The sequence below is a fragment of the Homo sapiens genome, chromosome 6 (genome assembly GCF_000001405.40).
Source record: "Homo sapiens chromosome 6, GRCh38.p14 Primary Assembly".
NCBI classification, from domain to species: Eukaryota; Metazoa; Chordata; class Mammalia; order Primates; family Hominidae; genus Homo; species Homo sapiens.
The window spans coordinates 156,140,803-156,164,454 of NC_000006.12; the positions used below are offsets into that span (position 1 = coordinate 156,140,803).

The window sequence follows — 23,652 nt, forward strand, 5'->3', positions numbered from 1 at the left end:
AGTAGAGACGGGGTTTCACCATGTTGGCCAGGCTGGTCTTGAACTCCTGACCTCAACTGATCTGCCCACTTCAGCCTCCCAAAGTACTGGGATTACAGGTGTGAGCCACTGCACCCGGCCTGACTTCCATGTTTTCTGACAACAGATCTGCAGTTTTCCCCTGTAAGTAATGTGTCTTTTTTTCCTCTGGCTACTTTCTAGATTCATTTTTAAATCTTTGGTATTCCGCAGTTTGATTACGACGTGTCTGGGCCTCTACTTCATTGATGTGTATTGAGCTTCTTGAATCTGTAAATTTGTATCCTCAACTAATTTGGAAATTTTCTATTATGATTATTTCAAATATTTTTTCTGGCACTCTTTTTGCACTCCTTTCACTTTCCTTCAGGTACTTCAATAATTTAAATGTTAGAGGTTTTGATATTTTCCCACATATACCTGAGCCTGTGTTTGGTTTCTTTTCTATTTTTTTCTCTCTGTACTTCAGATTAGATCATTTGACTCTATCATTATGTTTGTTTATTTTTTTAAGATATCGCCATCATTCCATTGAGGCCAGATAATACTTTTTTACTTATGATATTATATACTTTTATTCTACAGTTCCGTTTAGTTACTTTTCAATTGTTCCTCTTTTTCTGCTGAGAGTTTGTATCTTTTCATTCATTTCAAGAGTGCTTGCCTTTACTTTATGGCACATGGTCATTAAAGCTGCTTTAAAATCTTTATTTGATTATTCCAACATCTGGGTCTTCTTGGCTTCGGGGTCACTGATTGTCCTTTTCCTTGAGAATTGCTTAAATTTTCTGGTTATTTGTATGTTGAGTGATTTTTGAATTGTATTATAGATGTATGAAATTAAATGTGAGACATACTGAATATAATGTAGTGAGACTCTGTATCCTGTTAAAATCCTCCAAACAATGTTCTTTTTTGATTGGTTTGTTTGGCAGTCAATTTACAAAACAAAGCTATTTTTGTAAAATGCTATTTTTCTTTGAGTATGTTCTACACATTTAGCTCAGGTGGGATCTCGGGACTTGTGTTGGTCTATGTACCATAATTAGAGTGTACCCTTCTCTAGCTATGTCTTCTCAAAGATCCTGCCACTCTTTGGCTGTTAGAGACTATTTTACCAGTTCTTCTGGCCAGAAAGATGAGCTTCTTTTTGGATTTTAGGCCCAGTGCTCTTGCACTGTTCTGTGCAATGGGGGCCACACTTGGGATACAGGGGTAAGAATATAACAGAATAAATAAAAGATTCCTGCACACTATTCAGGCTACTTGGATCCCTTTTTCCCATTCCTCTGACCACAGATATGGATTAGCTCTTGGGATTTGTATACCCCACCACCACCATATCTAGGCAATACATCACCATGACTGGGGCTGGCCTCAGGCAATGCCAAGAAAGGAAAAAGAGAAACAAACAGAAAAAAAAACAGGGATTTCATTTCATATTCTCTTTCAGTGACTTATTTTTGCTGGTCATCTGATTGGAAAGATGGCTTTCTTTTGGGTTTTGCTCTCCACACCTGTGGCACAGTTTCACCTCTCAGAGTGTTGTTGGTTTTCCATGAATCAAAGCTGAGACATAGAGGAGGAGAATGAACAGAAAACTTACTAGTACTAGCTTGTTATGAACTGAGTGTTTGTGCTCCTGGAAAATTCATGTGTTGAAATATTAACCCCCACAATGCAATGGTATTCAGAGGTGGAGTCTTTGAAAGGTAAGTAGGTCATGGAGGTGGAGTCTTCTAGAACGGGATTAAAGTCCTTATAAGAGGAGACATGACAGCTTCCTTCCTCCCCCTCCCCCCGCTTTCTCTCTCTCTCTCTCCCCCTGCCCTCTTTCTTTCTATCTCCCCCTATATGAGGATATAACAAGAAAGTAGCCATCTGCAAAGCAGGAAGTGTGCCCTCACCAGACATCAATCTGCTGGTGCCTTGATCTTGGACTTCCCAGTCTCCAGAACTGTGAGAAATAAGTTTGTGGTTTAGCAACCCCACCTATGCTATTCCATTATAGCAACCCAAACTGACTAAGACATGGTTATTCTTCAAGCTTTGACTTCCTGTCTGTATTTACCTCTTATTGTTTACTTTTTAAGTCTTCAAATAGTTGTCTTATGTATTCTTTCCAGAGGTTTGAGTTTTAACCAATGGGTTAGATAAGAAATAGTTGGCTTGCTCCACCTTGGCCACCCACAAATCTGTCATATACTCATTATTTAGAATAATTTGTCTCTTGGCTTCTCTCATTTTTATTCTTTATTCATTAACTAAATGACAATTTTTTCCTGCCACAATGACATTGATTCTACTGAAGTAAGGATAAAGTAATGTCTCTTCAAGAACAATACTTACCTGCCCACCATGGATTTTTATTTTTCAGTTTGTTAAAGGGTGTCACATATTAAAAACTTTGTAAAGTTAAATTAATGTGATCATTATGGCATGCGTCCATCATTCAGTTTACTGGTAAAGGAGATTTAAAAGCCCAACAGAATAACATGGAAACTATAAAACTTTAAATCACCTATCTGCTCTTAAGTTAGAATTGTCATTTTATACAGCTAAAGGATCAGTAGTCTGTAATAATATATCTCTTCTTCTCATACAAGAATGTGATTAGAAAGACACCATATGGTAGCAGTCTGTGTTTTATATATAAATGGGGCAGGGGAAGGAGGAGGAGTGAAAGAGAGGGAAATAAAGGTACTTCTGATTGTTAACCAAGTATAAGATATATCAAGATGAATTCTATTTCTCTGACAAACAGAGCACCCACTATGCAAGGCAGGCTTCTTGTTACATGCTGGAGGAAATCTTTTAAATGCCTAAGACAAGTTTTCCTATTTCTTAGGAGTTTGGTAGGAGAAACAACCTGCACACCATTGTTTTAAAGGAAGTTAAAGAGTTATAATGCCAAAAGGTGATCAGTATAAACCACAATGGATGTTCCACAATAAAACGGTGGATGAGTTAATCATGAAAGAGTTAGAACCCCTAAAGAAGAGTGGGGATTGGAGAATACAATGTTTTGGGTAAATGCAAAGATAATAGAATGAATAGAATGAGTTAGCAGAAAAATATAAAGCATAGAAAGGAAATATCACAAGATTCCATTTTCTACTGAGTGGTAGGAGATAAAGCTGAAAATGTGGACTAGGACCAGATCACTGAGAATGTTAAAAGCCAAGGCAAAAAAAAATTAACTTGGTAATTAGCAAAAAGCCACAATAGAAGGTGGTTGAATAGGATGAATGGCACCATAGGAGCTATGATTCTGGAAGACCTATCTGTAATGTGAATTATGATGATGCTTGAGTAGGGAGGAACACGGATAAAAGAATGTCAGCTGGATTGATACAATGATCTGGACAAGAGTTAGCAATTTTAGCTAAGGTGATAAAAGAAATGGAATGGAAAGAAGATTGATTAAAAGTAAACTTGATGATGGTCCTGGGTGCCTTGGAAATAGGAAACACAGAGGGGTGACCGGTTGGGGAGAAAAGTAGGCAAGTATAGCCAAAAATATTGAATTTGAGTTGCTTCTAAGACAATCTGTTAGAGATGCTCATCAGGCAGGTAGGATGGAAGGGCTCAACAGCACAGGAGAGGAGACAGCTCTGGAAATGGAAAGGCAAGTGATGAGATCAAGGATGTAAGGAATTTCCAGGGGGGTGAAGGGGAAAAAAAGAGAAAACCATGGGAGATATCTGACTTTCCAGGACAGGAGGTAGAGAACAGAGAGATGCTTTGAAAAAGAGGTAGAAACAGTATCAATTCTGAACAAGGTCTCAGAAGACAAGGGAAAAGAGTTTTAAGGAGGTGTGGCAGTGCTGTAGGGAGCTCAGCAGGGTAAGCACTGAGACACTTTGCAATTGAGAGACCAGTGGTGACTGCTGCAGGAGCAGTTGTGATGGCAGAAGCAGGGATACAAGAGTGAAGGATTAATATGGTTTGGCTGTGTCCCCACCCAAATCTCATCTTGAATTGTAGCTCCAATAATCCCCACGTGTTGCAGGAGGGGCCCAGCAAGAGGTAATTTATGTATGGGAGCAGTTACCCTCATACTGTTCTTGTGATAGTGAGTGAGTTCTCACAAGATCTGATGGTTTTATTAGAGGCTTTTCCCCTTTTACTCAGCACTTCTCCTTCCTGCCACCATGTGAAGAAGGACATGTTTGCTTTCCCTTCCACCATGATTGTAAGTTTCCTGAGGCCTCCCCAGCCCTGCAGAACTGTGAGTCAATTAAACCACTTTCCTTTATAAATTACCCAGTCTTGGGTATGTCTTTATTAGCAGCATGAGAACAGACTAATACAAGGATCAAGAGGCTGAGACTGGGAGCAAGGGGCACAGTGCACGTACCTCTCTTGAAAAAGTCTAGGAGTCATGACCTAGATTCTACAGTACAACCTGAGAGGAGTATGACCTCTACTGGGTAGATCTGCTAACAATTTGAGGGAAATAACTGTCCGATGGTGTCAGATGTTCCAGCTAATTAAGACACCCCAAAAAATTATGTGGAAAACAAGAAATGATGGATTCAAGCAAAAGGTTTTCCTCAAACAGAATGATACAGATTTTCTTTTCTTCAAAAATCTCTTTTATCTCATTTCATAAAAAGACTTATTCCCCTGCCTCACTGTCTTTGTCAGGTTTATGTTCCCGCAGAAGACAAAGAATGGTGTTACATTCCAAAGATGCACACTATGAAGAAAGAACACTCTCCTTCCTAGCAGAGGGAAGGGGAAAAAAGCAAAGCAATGAGCTGGGATGCTCTCATGGAAAGCAGATGTACCACTTTGGCCTTGCATTCCCACTTGCAGCCAAACTCATTCTACAACCTACAGACTCCTTGCTTGGGAGTTTCCAGTGGGAAGTTAACTGTGCCTCTCGTTCTTCTTCACTCCACTCCACTTCACTCCCCAGTTGGTTTTATTAACAGCACCTCCTCCTTGCCCTTCTCATCCCACAGCCACCACCTGCTTCCATAAGACAGTGAGGAGCACAGCAGGAAGAGAAGGAGTCTTGCCGAGAGCCAGCATCTCCTACTCCTCCGCCATTAACTGGTAAACGCAGACCGCAGGCTCCTCCTTTGACACTGGGGAGCTAGAATGTTCCCCTAAGCACTTCGTGCTCTGAGACTTTATAAAAATGTGAAAAGAGGGCTTGGGAAAAAATGAGAAGATCTGTAGTCTGGGTTTTTGGGCCCTCCCTGGCTCTCACTCTGCCACTGCTTACAGTGACTGACACTCTTAGGGAGATACTACAGTGCCCTGTTTAAAAATTTCACTGAGGTTACTTAACGCTCATTTTTTAAAACTGCAATGAAATGGAAAATGAGGAAATGGCAAGGTCAGCTTCATCCTGGCTACTTTCAGCCCGTCTTCCCAGGAACTTTATCCAGGACACAGCGGAGCTTACATGCAAATTCGTCTCCTCCAGGACTGACAAGTGTGACAGGACTTTTTGTAGGACATGCTAAATCTAGGAATCATCAAAGGGTAAGTTCTTAAAGGAAATTCTGGGCTGGTGAGGTGATCCATTCTGTCCTCTTTTTTCCTCTTTTCTCTGCCTTCTCTCTCTCCTCTTTTCCTTCTGCAGAGACACTTGATGTAAGGGCCAGGAATGCCTTCTGCCTAAGTTCTGCAGAGACATTTGATAAGACGTAGGGCAGGAATACCTTCTGCCTGACTTGTGCCTTTAGCTCTGGAGGAATATGGAGAGCTGGGGAAGAGGAGGGTGAACCGGGTCACTGTAGAGAAGAGGAAAATGCCAGCGGCTCATGACCAGCTCTGCAAGGTGAGAGTTCAGTTCACTAGACTAGTCAAATAGGGTGGGGATTGGAGACAGAAAGAAACCCAATGCAAAAACTTAAATGGTCTGGCCAGACCGTCCATCTCTTTCTCTGAAAAAACACCTCTCGACGACCTGAGCAAAGGATAAGCAGCTACACAGGTGCTGATGCAGCCAGGAACAAAAACCCTAAGCTACTGTCTTGCAGAGGGTGGACCCCTGAAGAACAGCCATGGAACCAGTAAGAAGGGAGGTCAGGAAGGATGAAGGAAGCACAGAAAGTCAGCAAAATACCAAGCTCTCATGGTTAACAAAAAAAGCTGCACAGAAATGGAACAGTGAATTATGTAACCCAAATGGTTTCCATTGTCAATGAAGTACTAAAACTGTGTTCTTCCAAACGAGGACTGTGGGAGGCGCTCTGCAGGAAGGCGAGACGGTGACTGGCTGCGGGGGGCTCCCATGGCAGCAGGTGAGCAGCACCAGGCTCAGCCTTGCTGTCAGGTGCACTCAGCAGACTGCCAAGGGGCCCGGGTTGCCCACAGTTGCTCTCAGACAAGGCTAAGAGAACATAAACAATCGTTATTAAACATCCCTATGCTAATAGCATGACTCTGTATTTATCCAGCACTCTGCCAAGAGCCCAAACCTTTATCCAGGACACCAGAACAGTTGATCTTAACACCTTTGAACAGATGGAAACTGCACAAATGGGAGAAGCAGGAATAGAAAAGAAAACTATACCTCTTACGTGCTAACCTTGGCCCAGAAAGGACATAATGTGTAAGGGGGAACTGTCAAGAGAAAAATTGCAATCTCTTCAGAAGCCAATGTACCTTTAATTTCAAAAGTACAACTGAGTACCATTTTCTAGACAGATGATTCCCCACTTCATATCTCTTGCTGTTCTTTGGATAACTTCTGTTATTTCTCTTCCATCTGTTATTTTCATTTATTTCAGCTAGATTTTTCCAAATTGGAGGATCTTATTTTGGGAACGATGTATTCCAGAAATGTTACCCCATTTAAAAAGAATGATTGTTTTTTTGCAACTTGGAAGAGTATTTTCTGGGTCCAGGAGTCAAGTATATTTTCTAGTTTCAGAAATTAACAGCCTTTTTAAAATTTTTTCAGAAACTTGCAGCCGGATCTCCTTACCCAGCCCCAGGGAGAGTAGCGGGTTTGGCCATCCTCGTGCTGCCCCCTGGAAAGGGTCACACTCGCATATTTTTCCCAGAGCACTTCAAGTCCCCCTTGAGGAAGGTCTTCCATGAGTCCTAAAGCTCCATCTGAGATTTTGGCAGGCAAGGGAACTGAAACACAAATAAGTAGGTATCTGTGCTATATCCAAGGAGCCAGCTCTCAACAGAAGGACCAGAACTTTCGTCAGAAAAGCAGGGAGAAGGAAAAGAGGAGGCAATGTATGCATGCACCTGCAGGGTGCAAAAGAGAGGGAGGGGAGGTTGTGGGAGAAAAGGAAGGGCCCGGGAATGAAGAGGTGCTGCAGGTTCACTCAAAAACCCAAGAGACAGGAAGAGACACTAAAAGGACTCAAGGCCAGGCATGGTGGCTCACGCCCAGCAGTTTGGGAGGCCGAGGCATGTGGATCACCTGAGGTCAGGAGTTCGAGACCAGCCTGGCCAACATAGCAAAACCCCATCTCTAATAAAAAAAAAAAATTACAAAAATTAGCCAGGCATGGTGGTGCATACCTGCAATCCCAGCTACACGGGAGACTGAAGCATGAGAGTGACTTGAAGCCAGGAGGCAGAGGTTGCAGTGAGATCTCACTACTGCACTCCAGCCTGGGCAATAGAGCGAGACTCTTGTCTAAATAAATAAATAAATGGACCTAATTTCATACCCATAGGTGACATTTTCACTTTGATTCTTCTCCCAGATGTTACAATCTTAAATATATGAAACTGAAGATGTGCCACTTCTCTCAAGTGACTTGCTTAAGTCTCATCTGCCTCTTCTCTCAACTTACTTTGGCTCTACCTGTGATGGATTCCTACTGATTCCAAACGTGCCACGTGCCTTCCCATGAAGATGCTTTTGTATGTAATGAGCCTGCCTGGATGCCATTTGCTCTTTTCTGTGCCCGACAAACTCCTGCCCATCTCCACCAAGCCCACTGAAATGCTGTCTTCTCTACGAAACCTTATCAGATTCCTGAACCAGAGCTGTTACGTGTTCCCCCCACTCGCTTTCTTGCATACGACTCACATCTCCCTTGTGGCACTCTTGACATTCCATCTTAATTGTTCGTCTGTTTTCCCCATTGGACTGTGTTAACTCAGGAGCTCCATCAATACCGGAGGGTGGAATGAAGGGAGGTCAATCTTAAGGCCTCCATTCATGGTGGGTCAATGTGCTTTATAGTAAAGGATAACACAGCCTAGAATTGAACAGGGCCAAAAGCAAGTTGCCTTGATTAGCTCTCTCACAAGGTGTTATTGTGGTGGCAATGTCTACATAGACAATCATGAAGTAGCTCTGTCCTCATTCAACTTGGTGGAAAAATCTTAAGACTCAGACCCAAGAGACACCATTAACTGATGAGGTGACGTTCTAAAATCCACTTACCCTCAGTTTTCTCACCTGTCAATGTCATTAGTGCTATTTCCTTCACCTTTGCTCATGCATTTTTGAGGTTAAAAGAATAAACTGGCCAGGTGCGGTGGCGCATGCCTGTAATGCCACCACTTTGGGAGGCTGAGGAGGGTGGATCACGAGGTCAGGAGTTCGAGACCAGCCTGGCCAACATGGTGAAACCCCCCACCCCCATCTCTACTAAAGGTACAAAAAATTAGCCAGGCCTGGTGGTGCACACCTGTAATCCCAGCTACTCAGGAGACCGAGGCAGGAGAATTGCTTAAACCCAGGAGGCGGAGGTTGCAGTGAGCCGAGATCATGCCATTGCACTCCAGTCTGGGTGACAGGGCAAGACTCCGTCTCAAAAATAAAATAAAATAAAATAACAGATGTGTAGGCACCTAATGGTTGTATAGGAAAATGATAGTCTGATTGAATTTCCTTAAATTTTGCCTCCTCCTCCCATCTCACCAGTCTCCACCTGTGAGTAAAGCAAGCCGGTAAGAGGATCAAGAACCATCTTACTCTCTTCTCCAAAGCTTGAGACACCTCTGTGGGATCCTACAAGATCTAAGAACATAGTTTGAAAACCTCTGCACAAATGCCTTCATACTCATTTGTCCAGGCCACAGTGAAAACAGGCAAATATCTGCACTGGAGATGAGCAAACTTAGGGGAGTAGTCCCATGGAAAAAATAATAATTATTATACACTGCTTGTATCTCATGAGAGCCACAAATTAACCATCTTAATCCCTAGTCAAGGAAACCTGTAAAAAGAGCATATATGTTAATTATAAAATAAGGCTGCAGGTGGGGTGCGGTGGCTCATGCCTGTAATCCCAGCACTTTGGGAGGCTGAGGCGGGCAGATCACAAGGTCAGGAGTTTGAGACCAGCCTGGCCAACATGGTGAAACCCCGTCTCTACTAAGAAAAATGAAAAAAAAAAAAAAAATTAGCTGGGTGTGGTGGTGGCCACCTGTAATCCCAGCTACTACGGAGGCCGAGGCAGGAGAATCACTTGAACCCAGGAGGTGGCGGAGGTTGCAATGAGCTGAGATCACACCATTGCACTCCAGCCTGGGCGACAGAGTGAGACACCGTTTAAAAAAAAAATAAGATTGCAATGTAATTTGAGCCTTTGCTGGAGAGAAAATATTTTGCTAATAATATAGTCAGAAAACCCATTCAAATGAATGACCAATACCAGCACAGGCATATCCTGACTCAGAGCTCTTTAGAGTCCTGCCATCCCAGGCTCTGCCAACCCTTGAACTCTCAAAACACTCAAAAAGATTCCCACAAGTCAGTGTGGAAACAGTTGTTCTGAGGGACCAATTCCTGCTCTATAGGCAGCCAGTGTTTAGATACACAGAAAAGTCCTGATTTGCCATTGGAATACAGCCAAGGTACAGGAAGAATCAAGCCCTAAATAAATGAGAAGAAACTTTTCTAAGATTAGGTTTTATCTTCTCTTTAGTCAATGTAGTCAGGCATCTTCGTTTATTGCAGCTGCTATCACAAAATACCATAGACTGGGTGGCTTATAAGCAACAGAAATTTATTTCTCACAGTTTTGGAGGCCGAGAAGTCTAAGATCAAGGTGCTGGCAGATTTGGTGTCTGGTGAGGTCCCCCTTTCTGCTTCATAGATGATGCCTTCTGGCTGTATTCTCACATGGTGGAAGGGGTGAGGGAGCTCTCTGGAGCTTCATTTATAAGGACACCAATTCCTTCTATGAGAGCTCGACCCTCATGACCTAACCACCTCCAAAAGGCCTCACCTCCTAATATCATCATATTGAAGATTAGGTTTCAATATATGAATCCAGGGGAGAAACAGACTTACAGACCACAGCATCAGGTAACCACTTCCTTTGCCTGATGTGAGCTGAAGGCATCTTTTGGTCAATATTAAACACTGTGCTATGTGAATCAGGAATATTGAGGCAAAACAAACTACGGTACTTGTTAAACTTACTATTGGGATGAGGAAGAAGTTTCCTCTCCCATGATGAGATAATTTTGTGTAAACTTAAAAAAAAATTATTCCAAACATAAAGGAGGAAAGTTAAGAGGATCTACCCCAAGCTCATAAATTCTACTTTATTTTGAATTCTGTTGTAGTACTTTCATATTTTCATGCAGAAAATCTAATCAGCTGCACAGTGCACACTAAAATATAATACATTTATATGTGGCTTTCTCATACACAAATTGAGACATCGACTGACTAGGTCAGTGCAGTAATTAAAAATCTTACCGAGGCCGGGCGCGGTGGCTCATGCCTGTAATCCCAGCACTCTGGGAGGCCGAGGCGGGCGGATCACAAGGTCAGGAGATCGAGACCATCCTGGCTAACACAGTGAAACCCCATCTCTACTAAAAAAAATACAAAAACAATTAGCCAGGCATGGTGGCGGGTGCCCGTAGTCCTAGCTACTGGGGAGGCTGAGGCAGGAGAATGGCGTGAACCCGGGAGGCGGAGCTTGCAGTGAGCTGAGATCGCACCACTGCACTCCAGCCTGGGCGACAGAGCAAGACTCTGTCTCAAAAAAAAAAAAAAAAAAAAAAAAAAATCTTACCGAATCTAGGATCTTCATTCTCCATAATACCTGAATCATTTAGGGTTTGGTTTGGCTATGTGTGACAGAGGAAAAAAAATAGATTGAAAACAGTGGCTTAAACAAGATAGAAAGTTTTTTTCTCTGTCATGTGAATGAGGCCCAGAGGTGAGCTGTCTGGGCTTATTTAGCACCCAGGGTCTTTCCAGCTCACCTTCCTCATGCCTCACCTTCAGAATCCAAGATGGCTAAATCCATCTTCAAGGCAGCAAGTCAGAGGCAGTGATGGAGAGGAAGAGAGCAAAGGTGCATGCCAGCTGTCTCTCATGACTGTTTTTCAAAACCTGCTGTGGATACTTTTGCTTTCCTGCCATTGGCCACGATCCCTGATTGGCAATTGTGAAATATCACAATTAAGTGGTCTACTAGGGAGTGCTGCCACGCTGTACTAGAAAGGTGACATAAATTATAAAATCAGAAAAATGCTGAAGTCCGAAACACCAAGTTTTTCAGAAAAGCGAGAGTGGAATGGTATTGACAAATTTTCATAGAAGTCTAGCGGTATCTAAGGATAAGATTATTACTAAGGTTATCTATTGTTCTACTATCTAGATCTTTCCACTCCACTTTCAAATTATGCATCGTGGTAATAGGTATGACGTCTCTAACTTCCTTTCAGATCAACACCTCTCAAATATGGTGTCCATCACGCACTGAAAATCATTGCAATCAGGCTATTGAGTGTGCCACCAGTAATTTGAGTATAAATCCCCCAGTAGTAAGAAAAATTCGACAACTAAAAGTATATCTTCTTAAAAGGAGATTGAGATTTGAAAACACAATATCCTTGTGTTCCAGATGGGAATATTTTAGAGATTCCCTTCAATTTTACCAAAATAAAGTAGACATTCTTTCCTGGTACAGAGAGCTGAGGTGTCAATAAAGAGCTATATTTTAATAATGTTAATAAAAGGCACAATGGGCCGGGTGCGGTGGTTCACGCCTGTAATTCCAGCACTTTGGGAGGCCGAGGCGGGTGGATCACCTGAGGTCAGGAGTTCAAGACCAGCCTGGCCAACATAGTAAAACCCCATCTCTGCTAAAAATAAAAAAATTAGCCAGGCATGGTGGTTGGCATCTGTAATCCCAGCTACTCGGGAGGCTGAGGCAGGAGAATCACTTGAGCCCAGGAGGCGGAGGTTGCAATGAGCTGAGATTGTGCCACTGCACTCCAGCCTGGGCAACAAAGCAAGACCCCATCTCAAAAAGAAAAGAAAAGAAAAGAAAAAAAGGCACCATGACGTATGTGGTTTTTATTTAGAGTAGAATATTGTATTCTCTGGGGGCCTCAGAGGCAGTTGAATTTGAAATTCTGAGATGCTCTTATAAGGCGTCCATTTTCAGTGTCCAGTTTTAAGATTTTTGTTCCCTGCTTTGTAATATTTTTTGTAGGTTCTCTCCAGGCTTTCAGTTAAGTGTACCAGAAGTGTGGCTCAGCCTGGGAATTCAGCTACAAGGCGTCAGAGCCTGACCAGCCTAGAGAAAAATAGGGCAGGGTTGGGTACCAAACAACAGTGACCAAACTGGTCAGGGACAAGAGGGAGGTTTGCAGGAACACAAAGGCCTTCGTCAGAGAGTCCCAGAGCGTTCTGAAGTTTCAGACAGCACCTACTAAACGTTAGTGACTGCCTAAGTGATGAAAGGAAAGAGAAAGGTACCAGGGTATTGCAGCTGAGATTGAGACTGGATACACACCGTGACTGAATTTGAAAAACCAGTTGATGGTGATCTGCCTCAGTCTCTTGCCTACCTGCTTCTCGGCCTGTCCCTCCCTGGGGACCAATGGTGAATCCTGAGAAGAAAAAGGCATTGTCCTTATAGCTACACAGAACACAGGAAGCTTCTGGCACATGTAACTCAGGATAGTGCAAACATGTGAGGACCTTGAAGATTGGAAGCCCCAGGATATAGCACCCTAAGCAATGGCACTGTCTCCATGAGAGTATCGGCAGGAAGACTGGTGATGAGGGGACTTCCTCAAAAAGAAGGCATTGCCACAGGTCCAAGAAATATCAGGACAAGACTCAGTCAGGAATACAAAGGTCAACCAGAAAAATCTATGTTCATGCTGTTAGCGCACGCTGTCCTCTGAAACCTAGTAAGGAATATGATGTTGTAAGGGACTATTAAGGTCACCAAATATGAAGGGTTCAGTCAACTATGATGGGAACACACAGTGGAGAAAACATGTGAATCATGACAGAGCACTATGAAGTGCTAAGTGAGGCAGAGACCAAATCCTCTGAGAACAGAGGAGAAGATACAATGGACAACACGCAAGGCATGAGATGGGGGAGGCCTCCAGGAGGAGGCAACATTTGAAAGCAGAGATAAGTGCCCAGCACTTTGGGAGGCCGAGGCGGGTGTATCACGAGGTCAGGAGATCGAGACCATCCTGGCTAACACGGTGAAACCTTATCTCTACTAGAAATACAAAAAATTAGCTGGGCGTGGTGGCGGGCGCCTGTAGTCCCAGTGGGAGGCTGAGGCAGGAGAATGGTGTGAACCCGGGAGACGGAGTTTGCAGTGAGCCCAGATCGCACCACTGCACTCCAGCCTGCGCGACAGAGCGAGACTCCGTCTCAAAAAAAAAAAAACAAAAAGAAAGAAAAGGCAGAGATAAGTGAAAAACAAAGTCAGCATCCACATGGAGTCGACATCCTTAAGAGAGAGACAAATGTGCACTCGGGTGCAGGGGTTTCACAGAGCCAAAAAGTAGATGAAAGAAGCTCACAGTGGAAGGACGTAGGGTGGCCGCAGGGGGAGATACTGCCTAATTCGCATCAGAAAATCATCATGATCACCACTGTGATTCAGAAAGATCACTCCTCCAGCAGTGTCATGGAAACACTGGAGAGATTCTACCAGGGAGACAAGTTAGAAAACCATTTCAAGGATACAGGTGGGAGTCAAGGCCAGAACTAGGAGTACTCTGCTTATTCCAAGTCACAAAACAGACCATTTCCTCACTTACGTCTCCATTCCCACCCCCTTGTACTGGGCACCTCTGGAGACATCTTCAAAACACTTGTTTCATTTGTTTTCCTAAAACTGAAAAAAAAATATGCGAACAATCTGTAGTGGCAATCTATCATTTTCATAAAGGCTCAAAGTCAAATGTGGGTTGTGGGGGTGGGGGATGGAGAGCCTACAGATGCAATTTTCTGTTGAAAGGCCATTTGAAGAAAACTGAAATTCGTGGTGAAGGAAGAAGTGTTCTGCTTAACAGTTTTAAGTTTCCTATGGGCCTTCCTGAGTCATCAACTGACTCATTCCACCTGCTGAATTTTATTATTAATTCAAAAAAAATTCTGATAACAATAGAGTCGAAATTATATTGCATGTTTTGATTTCTTTCCTCCCATTGCATAATTCTCCAGTTTTGCCCACATTTTGGCAGTTACTCTCACTACCCATGCAACAATGAGAAACATTCGTTTAAAAATATTTCCAACCCCCTCATGTTCACATGACATTGTTTCAATTCTAACTTTTTTTCAGTTCTTATATAAGATCCATTGCTATCTAATATTAGATCATTGTATTACATGTGACATACTTCTAATATATGGTAGGAGTTTGACAGATCCTTGATTTGGTTCTTCTCTAAAGCCAAAAAACAAAAACAAAAGGAGCATTTTGTATATGAATGATCAGTCCCAATTTAAGTGCTTGTTAGATTTGTTTTTTAGTTAAAATTTTGTTACTTTGAGAAGAAATATATTTATTGCAATTATTCATATAGGTAAATATGAGTGCATGTATGTGTAGTGTATGCCATAAATGTAGAGATCTAATCTGATTAATGATCAAAATTCAGTAAAATTGAAATAAAGAAGCCCAAGTTGCCCTCACTTGTCCTTCAGGTGTGAACTCTGAAGGTCTCTAAGATAACTAGAAATGACCACCAAGCAGAAGGGACATTCCCGCTTGAGGTGAATGTTTCTCTTAGCCTTCATAATTTGGGTGAAAACTGTCTTGACACTGACTGGACATTGACTATATTATATTTGAACCAAAAATATGAAATAATCTTTGTCACCAATTTTACCAAGTCAGTATAAAATTGTCAATATTAAAAATATGGTCTGGAAGATGATATGTAGGTTTGAAATTAACTTAGGGATAAGATAGTTGCTTTAGGAAAATGGATCCGATTTTTTTTGAAATGGCCTCTCACTCTGTCGCCCAGGCTGAAGTGCAGTGGCATGATCTTGGCTCACTGCAACCTCCGCCTCCTGGGTTCAAGCAATTCTTCTGCCTCATCCTCTCGAGTAGCTGGGACTACAGGTGAGCACCACCACACCTGGCTAATTTTTTTTTTTTTTTTTTTTTGTATTTTTACTAGAGACAGCATTTCACCATATTGGCCAGGCTGGTCTCGAACTCCTGACCTCGTGATCCGCCCGCCTTGGGCTCCCAAAGTGCTGGGATTACAGGCATGAGCCACTGTGCCCAGCCTGGATCTGATTTTTTCACATAGGCTGAGAGTGAAGAAGAGGAAGACAGAGGGCAATGGTGAGAAGGAGAGAACACAGTTTGTCCTTCCTCTGTTGAGTTTTTACACAGCTGCCACTCCTCAAAGGCTAGGATTTCCTCCAGAGCCCCAGCCTTGTGATTTGCACATTAAGCTACTAGGCCTTGGGCCTCTCCCCATGAAAACATGCAATTGCTTAACCCAGGTAAGCCAAATATAGTAAAGATTCTAAAAATGTGAATTTTTCTTACACAAAGTTCCAGTCTATACCAATGTATTTCCACATGGTTTGGCAGCATCTTCAACCTGTCTGCTCAAGTTGAAAACGTTTCAGCTTCCAGCTTTCAGCTGCGTAGGGGCTTAAGGAGGGGTAGCAGGGTAGAGGTGGTGCAGAAAACAAAAACTTTGCTATAAAATCTTGGGAAAGATAAATAAAAATGAGGAAAACTGTACTTGCGCTTAGAACTACACTTTAGTGTTTGCAATGAGAGAGTAAGACTTAGAATCATCATAGAACAAAAGCTTTTTCCCAGCTCAAGCATTCAATTACCTGCATCTCAGAGAACCATGGAAGACCAAGGAGGAAGGACTGGACAAAGAGCCCCAGAATGTTAGTGTCAGAAAAGCACTGAGTCTCTCATAAGGCCAGACAGCAAACACAACTTCATATACACATCTTTGCAGAAAAGCAAAACAAAGTTTCAATGATCTCCTTGGAAAATCCTGAAAAGTGCCTAGTCGACAAGAGATGGCAAAAAGGAAATGGATGTATGGATTGGTACTTTTTTTTACTTTACATATAAGGTAACTAAGGTTCAGAAATATTAGGACACAGAGTTATCCATCCACCATATGTGTAAAATGGCATTTAGATTGCCTATCTTTAGTGCCTTATCTTTATTGACCTAGTCAAGTAGAAACAAAAATCTTTACAAGAATTTTTCCTAAACATGAGATTGACCATGTTTCTTTCAATCCTATTTTCTGCACAGGCCCTAACATTCTCCTCCGGTAGGTTCTCCCTCCACAGAGAATCTCAGCTACTCCCTGGGTTTGGGGAGAGACCACACTTGATTTTTAGCTAAAAACAGCTCTGTTAAAATATATATATATATATATATATATATATGTATAAAATTAGTTACTATTTTCCTCATCTCTATCCTAAAAAAAAAAAAAGTCTAGAAGCAAGCAGGGCAACAATTATTATTTTCAATATGCAGATGAGGCAAATAAAACTTCAAGGGGCTGGTGATTGCTTAAGATAATTTATATAATTTATAGAGAATGCACCAAACTCAAACCTCGGTTCTCCATTTGATTGTTTGTTTCTAAATCTCAGGTCTCTCCCCTCTCTGCCAAGTAGATAATTCCGAGTGTGATTTATTTACAGAAACACAAACCTGCACAAAAGTTAGGCACCTCGCTAACGAACTTCTGTATGTACCTAAATCCTGCCTAATGTAACTCTAAATGTTTTTGTTTTTCTTTTTGTGCTTTTCCCCCTGCGTCTATAATGGATATCTTTGAACTTTAAAAAAGATACTCCAGGGGTGACTACCACAAGCTTAAGGATACCTGGAAACTTCTTACAAAAGACCCTTTGGCATTTCATCTAGCCTTGAGCTTCTCTTCCAATAGGGCAATCTTTTATTGTCTATTAGGTAAAAAGACAAATGAATACATTTAGCCTCATTAATATTACTTTTCTACTAGAATGTCTCTCTTGTTACTCTTCTTCTGTCTCCCCAATAGAATAAAACATTCATCCACTTATTAAGAAATATACACTGAGTGCATGTTCTTTGCAAGGTGCTAGGGGACCAGTCAACCAGTTGAACCTGTAGTAGCTCAGGAGGGAGGGCTGGGGCTTGGTGGGTTGTGCTAGTCTGGTTTGGGTACTACTTTAAATAGTGATTAGGATTGAGACTCTGCTAGTCCTTCTGGGAAAAGCTAAGACTGGAAATGTAGGGAATGCCCTCCCTGTGAACAAAGGCAAAAGACTTATCATGGGAAAGTGAATGGGCACCTATTATTCTAGAGACAAAGATGGAGGTAGGTCAAAAACCTCGAGTTGAAAGCAGCCAAAGTATAAAGAAGAAATATCAGGAAAGGGAGAGCAGAGTCCAGGAATTAGTCTGTCCAAGCTGGGGATCTTGGTGACCAGCAGACTCCAGGTGGCCAGGATCAGCCCCAAGAATAAGGAATAAGCAGGCAGATGTTTGCACCACAGCCTTTGGAAGATTCTGTAGCCCTTTGTGGCAGACTATAATCAATGTGAACCCCAAATATCACTTGCTATGATGTTCCAGGTCCTACAGCCTATCCGAGACTGGTTGGTGTGGTAGGAAGAATTGAAAACCTTCCTGTTCTCAGAAAGCCATTCTGGGATCAGACAAGGCTGATTGGGAATAGTGTTGGCTCAAATGGAGGCCTTCTCAGCTGATACAGGAGCTCTTTCTAGCAAAGAGAATTCAAGGATGGTGTTTTGGACAATCAAACCAAGGATATTACTTCCAAGAAGTAGAATGACTTTCCTACCTGTTCTCTTTTCACTGACCCCTTGTCTACCCAGACAGGGAACATGGCCTCTTTCCTTTGAAAGGACTAGAGAGATGAAGGAAATTAAATAGTAACAACATGAATAAACAATTTAAAATTAAATGTTAGACATTCCTTCTTTTTTTCATTTCTTTCAGTCACCACCACTAACAGGAAATCCTAATTGGCTAGCACGTCTCATTAGACTTTCAGAAAACCAGGCTCATTCTCACTTTTTCTCCTCCTTACCCCTCTTCATTCCTCCTGCAGAGGACATCAGCTATCTCTTAGGTTCTTTGTTTCTCTCCAGTCCAGTCTCTTGAGCACTCAAACACTGCACCAACAGTTCTCTATCAACATATTTTATTTAAATAAAAAGATTTCAGTCTAAGAATAAGTAATGCTACTCTCTTTGGGGCTAAAGCAGTTGAAGTTGATTTTAGTAGCATCTTTCTCCTTTTCTGTGACAAATAGTTGGCCCTCCATTCACATTAGAATTGCAAACCAAGCCCAGAATACAAAAGACATAAGATGAAAATTTATAGATAGATATGTGTGTGCATATATGTGTGCATGTGTGTCTAGCTGACCCTTGAACAACATGGGGGTTAGTGGGGCTGACCCCCTACATAGCAGTAAATTTATGTAAGATTTTTGACTTTCCAAAAACTTAACTACTAATTGACTGGAAGCCTTAGTAATAACATAAACAGTTGATGAGCACATATTTTATATGTTATGTGTATTATATTCTGTATTCTTACAATAAAGTAAGCTAGATAAAAGATGTTGTTAAAAATTATAAGGAAGAGAAAATATATTTACTCTTCATTAAGTGGAAGTGGATCATCATAAAGGCCTTCATCCTCATCATCTTCATGTTGAGCAGGCTGAAAGGAGGAAGAAGAGGAGGATTTGGTCTGCCATCTCATAGGTAGCAAAAGTGGAAGAAAATCCACACATACATGGGCCTGCATAGCTCAAACTCACGTTGTTCAGCTATATATATATACAGTTATATATATATATATATATATATATATACAGTTATATATATATATATATATATATATACAGTTATATATATATATATATACAGTTATATATATATATATACACATACATGTATAATATATGCATATTATATACATATACATGTTTAGCTCATAAAGCAGGAAGCCTGATTACTTAGCTCTGTAGTGTGGTTCTTGGATCAGAAGAGAGCCAGAATCAAGATCTACTAAATCCTCAAGTCAGTGAATGAAGACTGAGCTCACTGTCCCATCCGCCAAGGCCAAGACTCATAAGTCTAAAGCAACCCAATGTCTATGGGAAGAGGCCAAGAAGGACACCGACATTAAACAGATGTAGGACTGAGTACCCAGACAGACTCTGAGTTTGGAGCCAACTCCACACTTGCTGTAAAACAGGAGAAGTGAAAAAATATAATTAACTTTAAATAAAGGATAATCATATTGGTTAACTAAAATCCCCTTTTGCCAGCCCTCAATTGCACCCTCTTGTATTCAATTACGAATAATTGATATAAAGTAGATATGACTTCAAAGACATATCATTGAAGATATACACTTTTTAAAATATGTCTCCTCTAATCATCCATAGAATCTTAAATGCATACATTTCAGAAATCTGAGATAAATTCCTAATGAATGCATATTACTATATATTTTAAAGTCATAAATGTAATTTGATAAACTTGCAAATTAATTTAGCAAGGAGCCATTTTAGAAAAGTGACTGATAAGCTGCTAATTTTATTTACTAAAGATAATTTAAGCAGATACTTATAAATTCATTAAGGGGTGAATCATCTTCCATTCTACAAGTTTATACTGAATATTTAGGACATGTGTTCACCATACTAAACTAGGGGGAATGCACCACTGAACACAGTATACATTTAAATAATGTTATTTAAGCAAAACAAGTTATATATACTAGGTCTTTTGTTCTAACAAATTTATCTTAATAAAGCAAATGTACGTGTGTGTGTGTGTGTGTGTGTGTGTGTGTGTCTGTGTGTTAATGTTGGCTCTTTTAAGTATGAAATTTGGAAATTTGAGCATTAGGAACAAAAAAAATATGTGGCCGTATCAACTCAGGAAACCTTAAATATTGGGTTATGCAACTAATTCAATCTAACTTCCTTCTCACATGTTTTTAACAACTGCGAAAGAAAGATAAGCTGTCTTTTTTTTTTTTCAGTTCCCAGATGATTTTAATGTTTAGAAGAAATACATTTGAAAAGTGTTCAACCATAATAACAATGAAGTTAAAATGTAAGCAATAAAAGGCTATTTAAAACAAAATTTTATATGATCAGCTTGTGAAACAATATTGGGGTGATTCCAGTGCAATTTCTGACAGCAATCAATATCAAACGATAGGCTATCAAGAGACACCAAAATATTATATTCTTTTAGAAATTCCTCTTGGAAAAAAGAACAAAGGAAGAAAAAAGATATAAGCATAAATATTCACTGCAGTACTAACACAAAAGAAAAAAATGGAAACAACCTAAGTGCCAACTATGAGAAAGATTTAATTGTATATTTTTAATTTGCTGAAATATTATAAGGAATGTTAACAAATCAGCTAAGTTTTTGCAATAACATGGAGAAATCCTGGCCGTACAATGTTAATTGTAAATGTCAACTATATGATCACTCCCATACTATGGTTTTAACTATTAATATTATAAACAAGTAATGGAAAAGCAATTTAGAAGACAAAATAAAAAGAGGTCTGCTATAAAATAAAAAGCTATCATGAGAACCACTCCACCCGATCCCAGACCTCTGAAGTGGGGTATTATGTGCCTGTTATTATGGGGGAAACATCTGCTGGTAGATCAGATGCTGTTTTAAGGAAGAAATAAAAGAATTATGCACGTGTGTTGGAGGAAAAAGAAAGAAATTGCATGGGGGAAACATTATTCTTGTTTTATTCTCAAAATTAAAACATAGGTGATAATATAGCCTAAGCAGATATGTATATTGTTGTTGATTGTGTGCCCCAAAAAGTCATGTTTAAGTCCTAAACTCCAAGACCTTGGGTGACCTTATTTGGAAATAGGGTTTCTGCAGACGTCATCAAGTTAAGATGAAGTTATACCAGGATGAGGGGAATGACTGGTGTCCTTTTTTTAAATTTAAATTTAAATCTTTAATTTAATTTTTTTATTATTATTTTTTGAGATAGGGTTTTGCTCTTGTTCCCCAGGCTGGAGTGCAATGGTGTGATCTTGTCTCACTGCAACCTACACCTCCCAGGTTCAAGTGATTCTCCCGCCTCAGCCTCCCAAGTAGCTTGGATTACAGGCGCATGCCACCACGTGTGGCTAATTTTTGTGTTTTTAGTAGAGATAGGGTTTCACCATATTGGTCAGGCTGGTCTGGAACTCCTGACCTCAGGTGATCCACCTGCCTCGGCCTCCCAAAGTGGTCGGATTATAGGCGTGAGCCACTGCACCAGGCCACTGGTGTCCTTTTGAGAAGAGAAAAATGTAGACACAGACACACACCCAGGGAGAATTCCATGTGATGAAGGCAGGGAGCTGCGTTCACAAGGGAGCTGCGTTCACAAGGCAAGGAAGGCCAAGGAGAGCCAGCAGAGGCTGGAAGAGACAGGAGGGATCCTCCCCTAGAACCTTCTGAGAGAGCACGTCCCTGCCAGCACCTCCACTTTAGACTTCCAGCCTCCAAAACTGAGAGAGAAGAAATTGCTGCTGTGTTAAGCTACCCAGTCTGTGGTCCTTTATCGCAGCAGCCCTAGAGGACTAACATATATAAGCAAGCTAATTAATATCCAGGGATACCGCATTCTAAAATATTACTTTCTGGTTATTAATACTTATCAGCCAAGAAATTCAAGCACTGTTATTTACATATTATAAGACCAGGCTTTGCAAAACTCTTTCAAAGTTAAGGGGCAAGTGTTAATATCATTTTGGAACTGTACCGGCAGCATGGCACTGTGACTGGGGGAGTCACAAGACACGGGTCCCAATATTGACTCCATCACCCAGTGGTGACTTTGAACAAGTCACAACCTCTCTGCGCCTATTTCTTGCTTTGTAAAATGGTGATAAGAATTGTCTCATTGGGCTATTGTGAGAACATTAGCTAATAAATGTAAAGCAATTAGAACAGTAGCTGGCCCGTTATAAGCCTTCAATAAATGTTAGCTATAATTATCATGTCTGACTAAACATTTTGGTTCTATTCCCATTTTAGAATTACAGAAATTTCACAGGCATATATTTAGAATGCATATATCAATTTGTAAATTACTTATATTCCACTATATCAACACTTCTCTCTTCCTAACTCCAAGTGATTCCTACTCATATTAAGTTATATAACCTCAAACGCCCTGATCCTAGGACCACGAGAAAAGGTGAGTGGGCAGAAGCAGGGAAGAAATGGAATATAAAGAAAAGATTGCTGATTTGAGTTCTTCTGGAATTGAAATTCTATGAAGCAGTATCAGGCAGGATCAAAGAGGATCAGAGGTTTGAGCGTGGCTGCTTGACAAGCCAGGTGCTGAGATAAGCAGCATCCTCTGCGTCAATGTAGGAAATGGGACATTGGTTTTACTTCTTCTCATGTGGATCCACAATTGAGTGAGAGTTACTCAGATGTCTGGGCTACACTTGGCCCATATTTTTGTACTCACTGGGGGACTCTACACAGGAAATACCTTCAAGCATCAGCAGAGTGTTCTGCACAGCATCATTCAAGTGAAAGGGTGAGATATTTTCAGGATAATTCAGGCAAATCAGTTGCAAATTTGTCAAATGACTGTCCCAACCATCAGTTTGCATATTAATCTGTTCATAGTTGTCACTATCCAGAGGTGGCGGAGGTTGCAGTGTGCCAAGATCGCACCATTGCACTCCAGCCTAGGCAAGAAGAGCAAAACTCCATCTCAGAAAAAAAAAAAAAAAAAAAACTTTTCAGAGGCCAGGCACGGTGGCTCATGCCTGTAATCCCAGCACTTTGGGAGGCTGAGGCAGGTGGATAATTTGAGGTCAGGAGTTCAGGACCAGCCTGAACAACATGGTGAAACCCCGTCTCTACTAAAAATACAAAACAAATTAGCTGCTTGTAGTGGTGCATGCCTGTAATCTCAGCTACTTGGGAGGCTGAAGCAGGAGAATCACTTGAACTTGGGAGGTGGAGGTTGCAGTGAGCCAAGATCACACCACTGCACTCCAACCTGGGCAACAGAGTGAGACTCTGTCTCAAAAAAAAAAAAAAAAAAAAGCTTCCCAGATATCTTACATATTTATTGTCACCATAACTACCTTGCCCATCTCTGTGGTAATTATGCCTGCAATTCTCTAGGCCTCCTCTTTAATTGTACCTCATAGGCTAGTATGAGCCTGGGCCTCCAGCTAAGAAAAGGTGGTAAGTGAACAGCTCTCACGGGGGGAAGTGTAGCACTATTCAGTGCCAGAAATTTCTGAAAGAATAGTTCATATTTCTGAAGGCCAAATCCAAAATTTGCTCCTGCTGAGAAACTAGCTATTGAGATGTCCCTGACTAATCTACTGGGCTTTCTTCTATAAATTAAGTATAAA

The 23,652-nt window shown here is 41.1% G+C and overlaps 2 long non-coding RNA genes across 2 annotated transcripts in view; both read right to left on the reverse strand.

The window, feature by feature from the left end:
* Positions 1–23,652, reverse strand: part of LOC101928923 (uncharacterized) — a 487,547-nt gene that overhangs the window by 332,078 nt on the left and 131,817 nt on the right. The gene's annotated exons all lie outside the window — the stretch shown is intronic.
* LOC124901441 (uncharacterized) lies at positions 567–16,654 on the reverse strand. Its single transcript, XR_007059826.1, has 2 exons — positions 15,759–16,654; positions 567–7,122 (listed from the first exon to the last, which is right to left on the reverse strand). It is a non-coding gene; the product is annotated as an uncharacterized LOC124901441 (long non-coding RNA).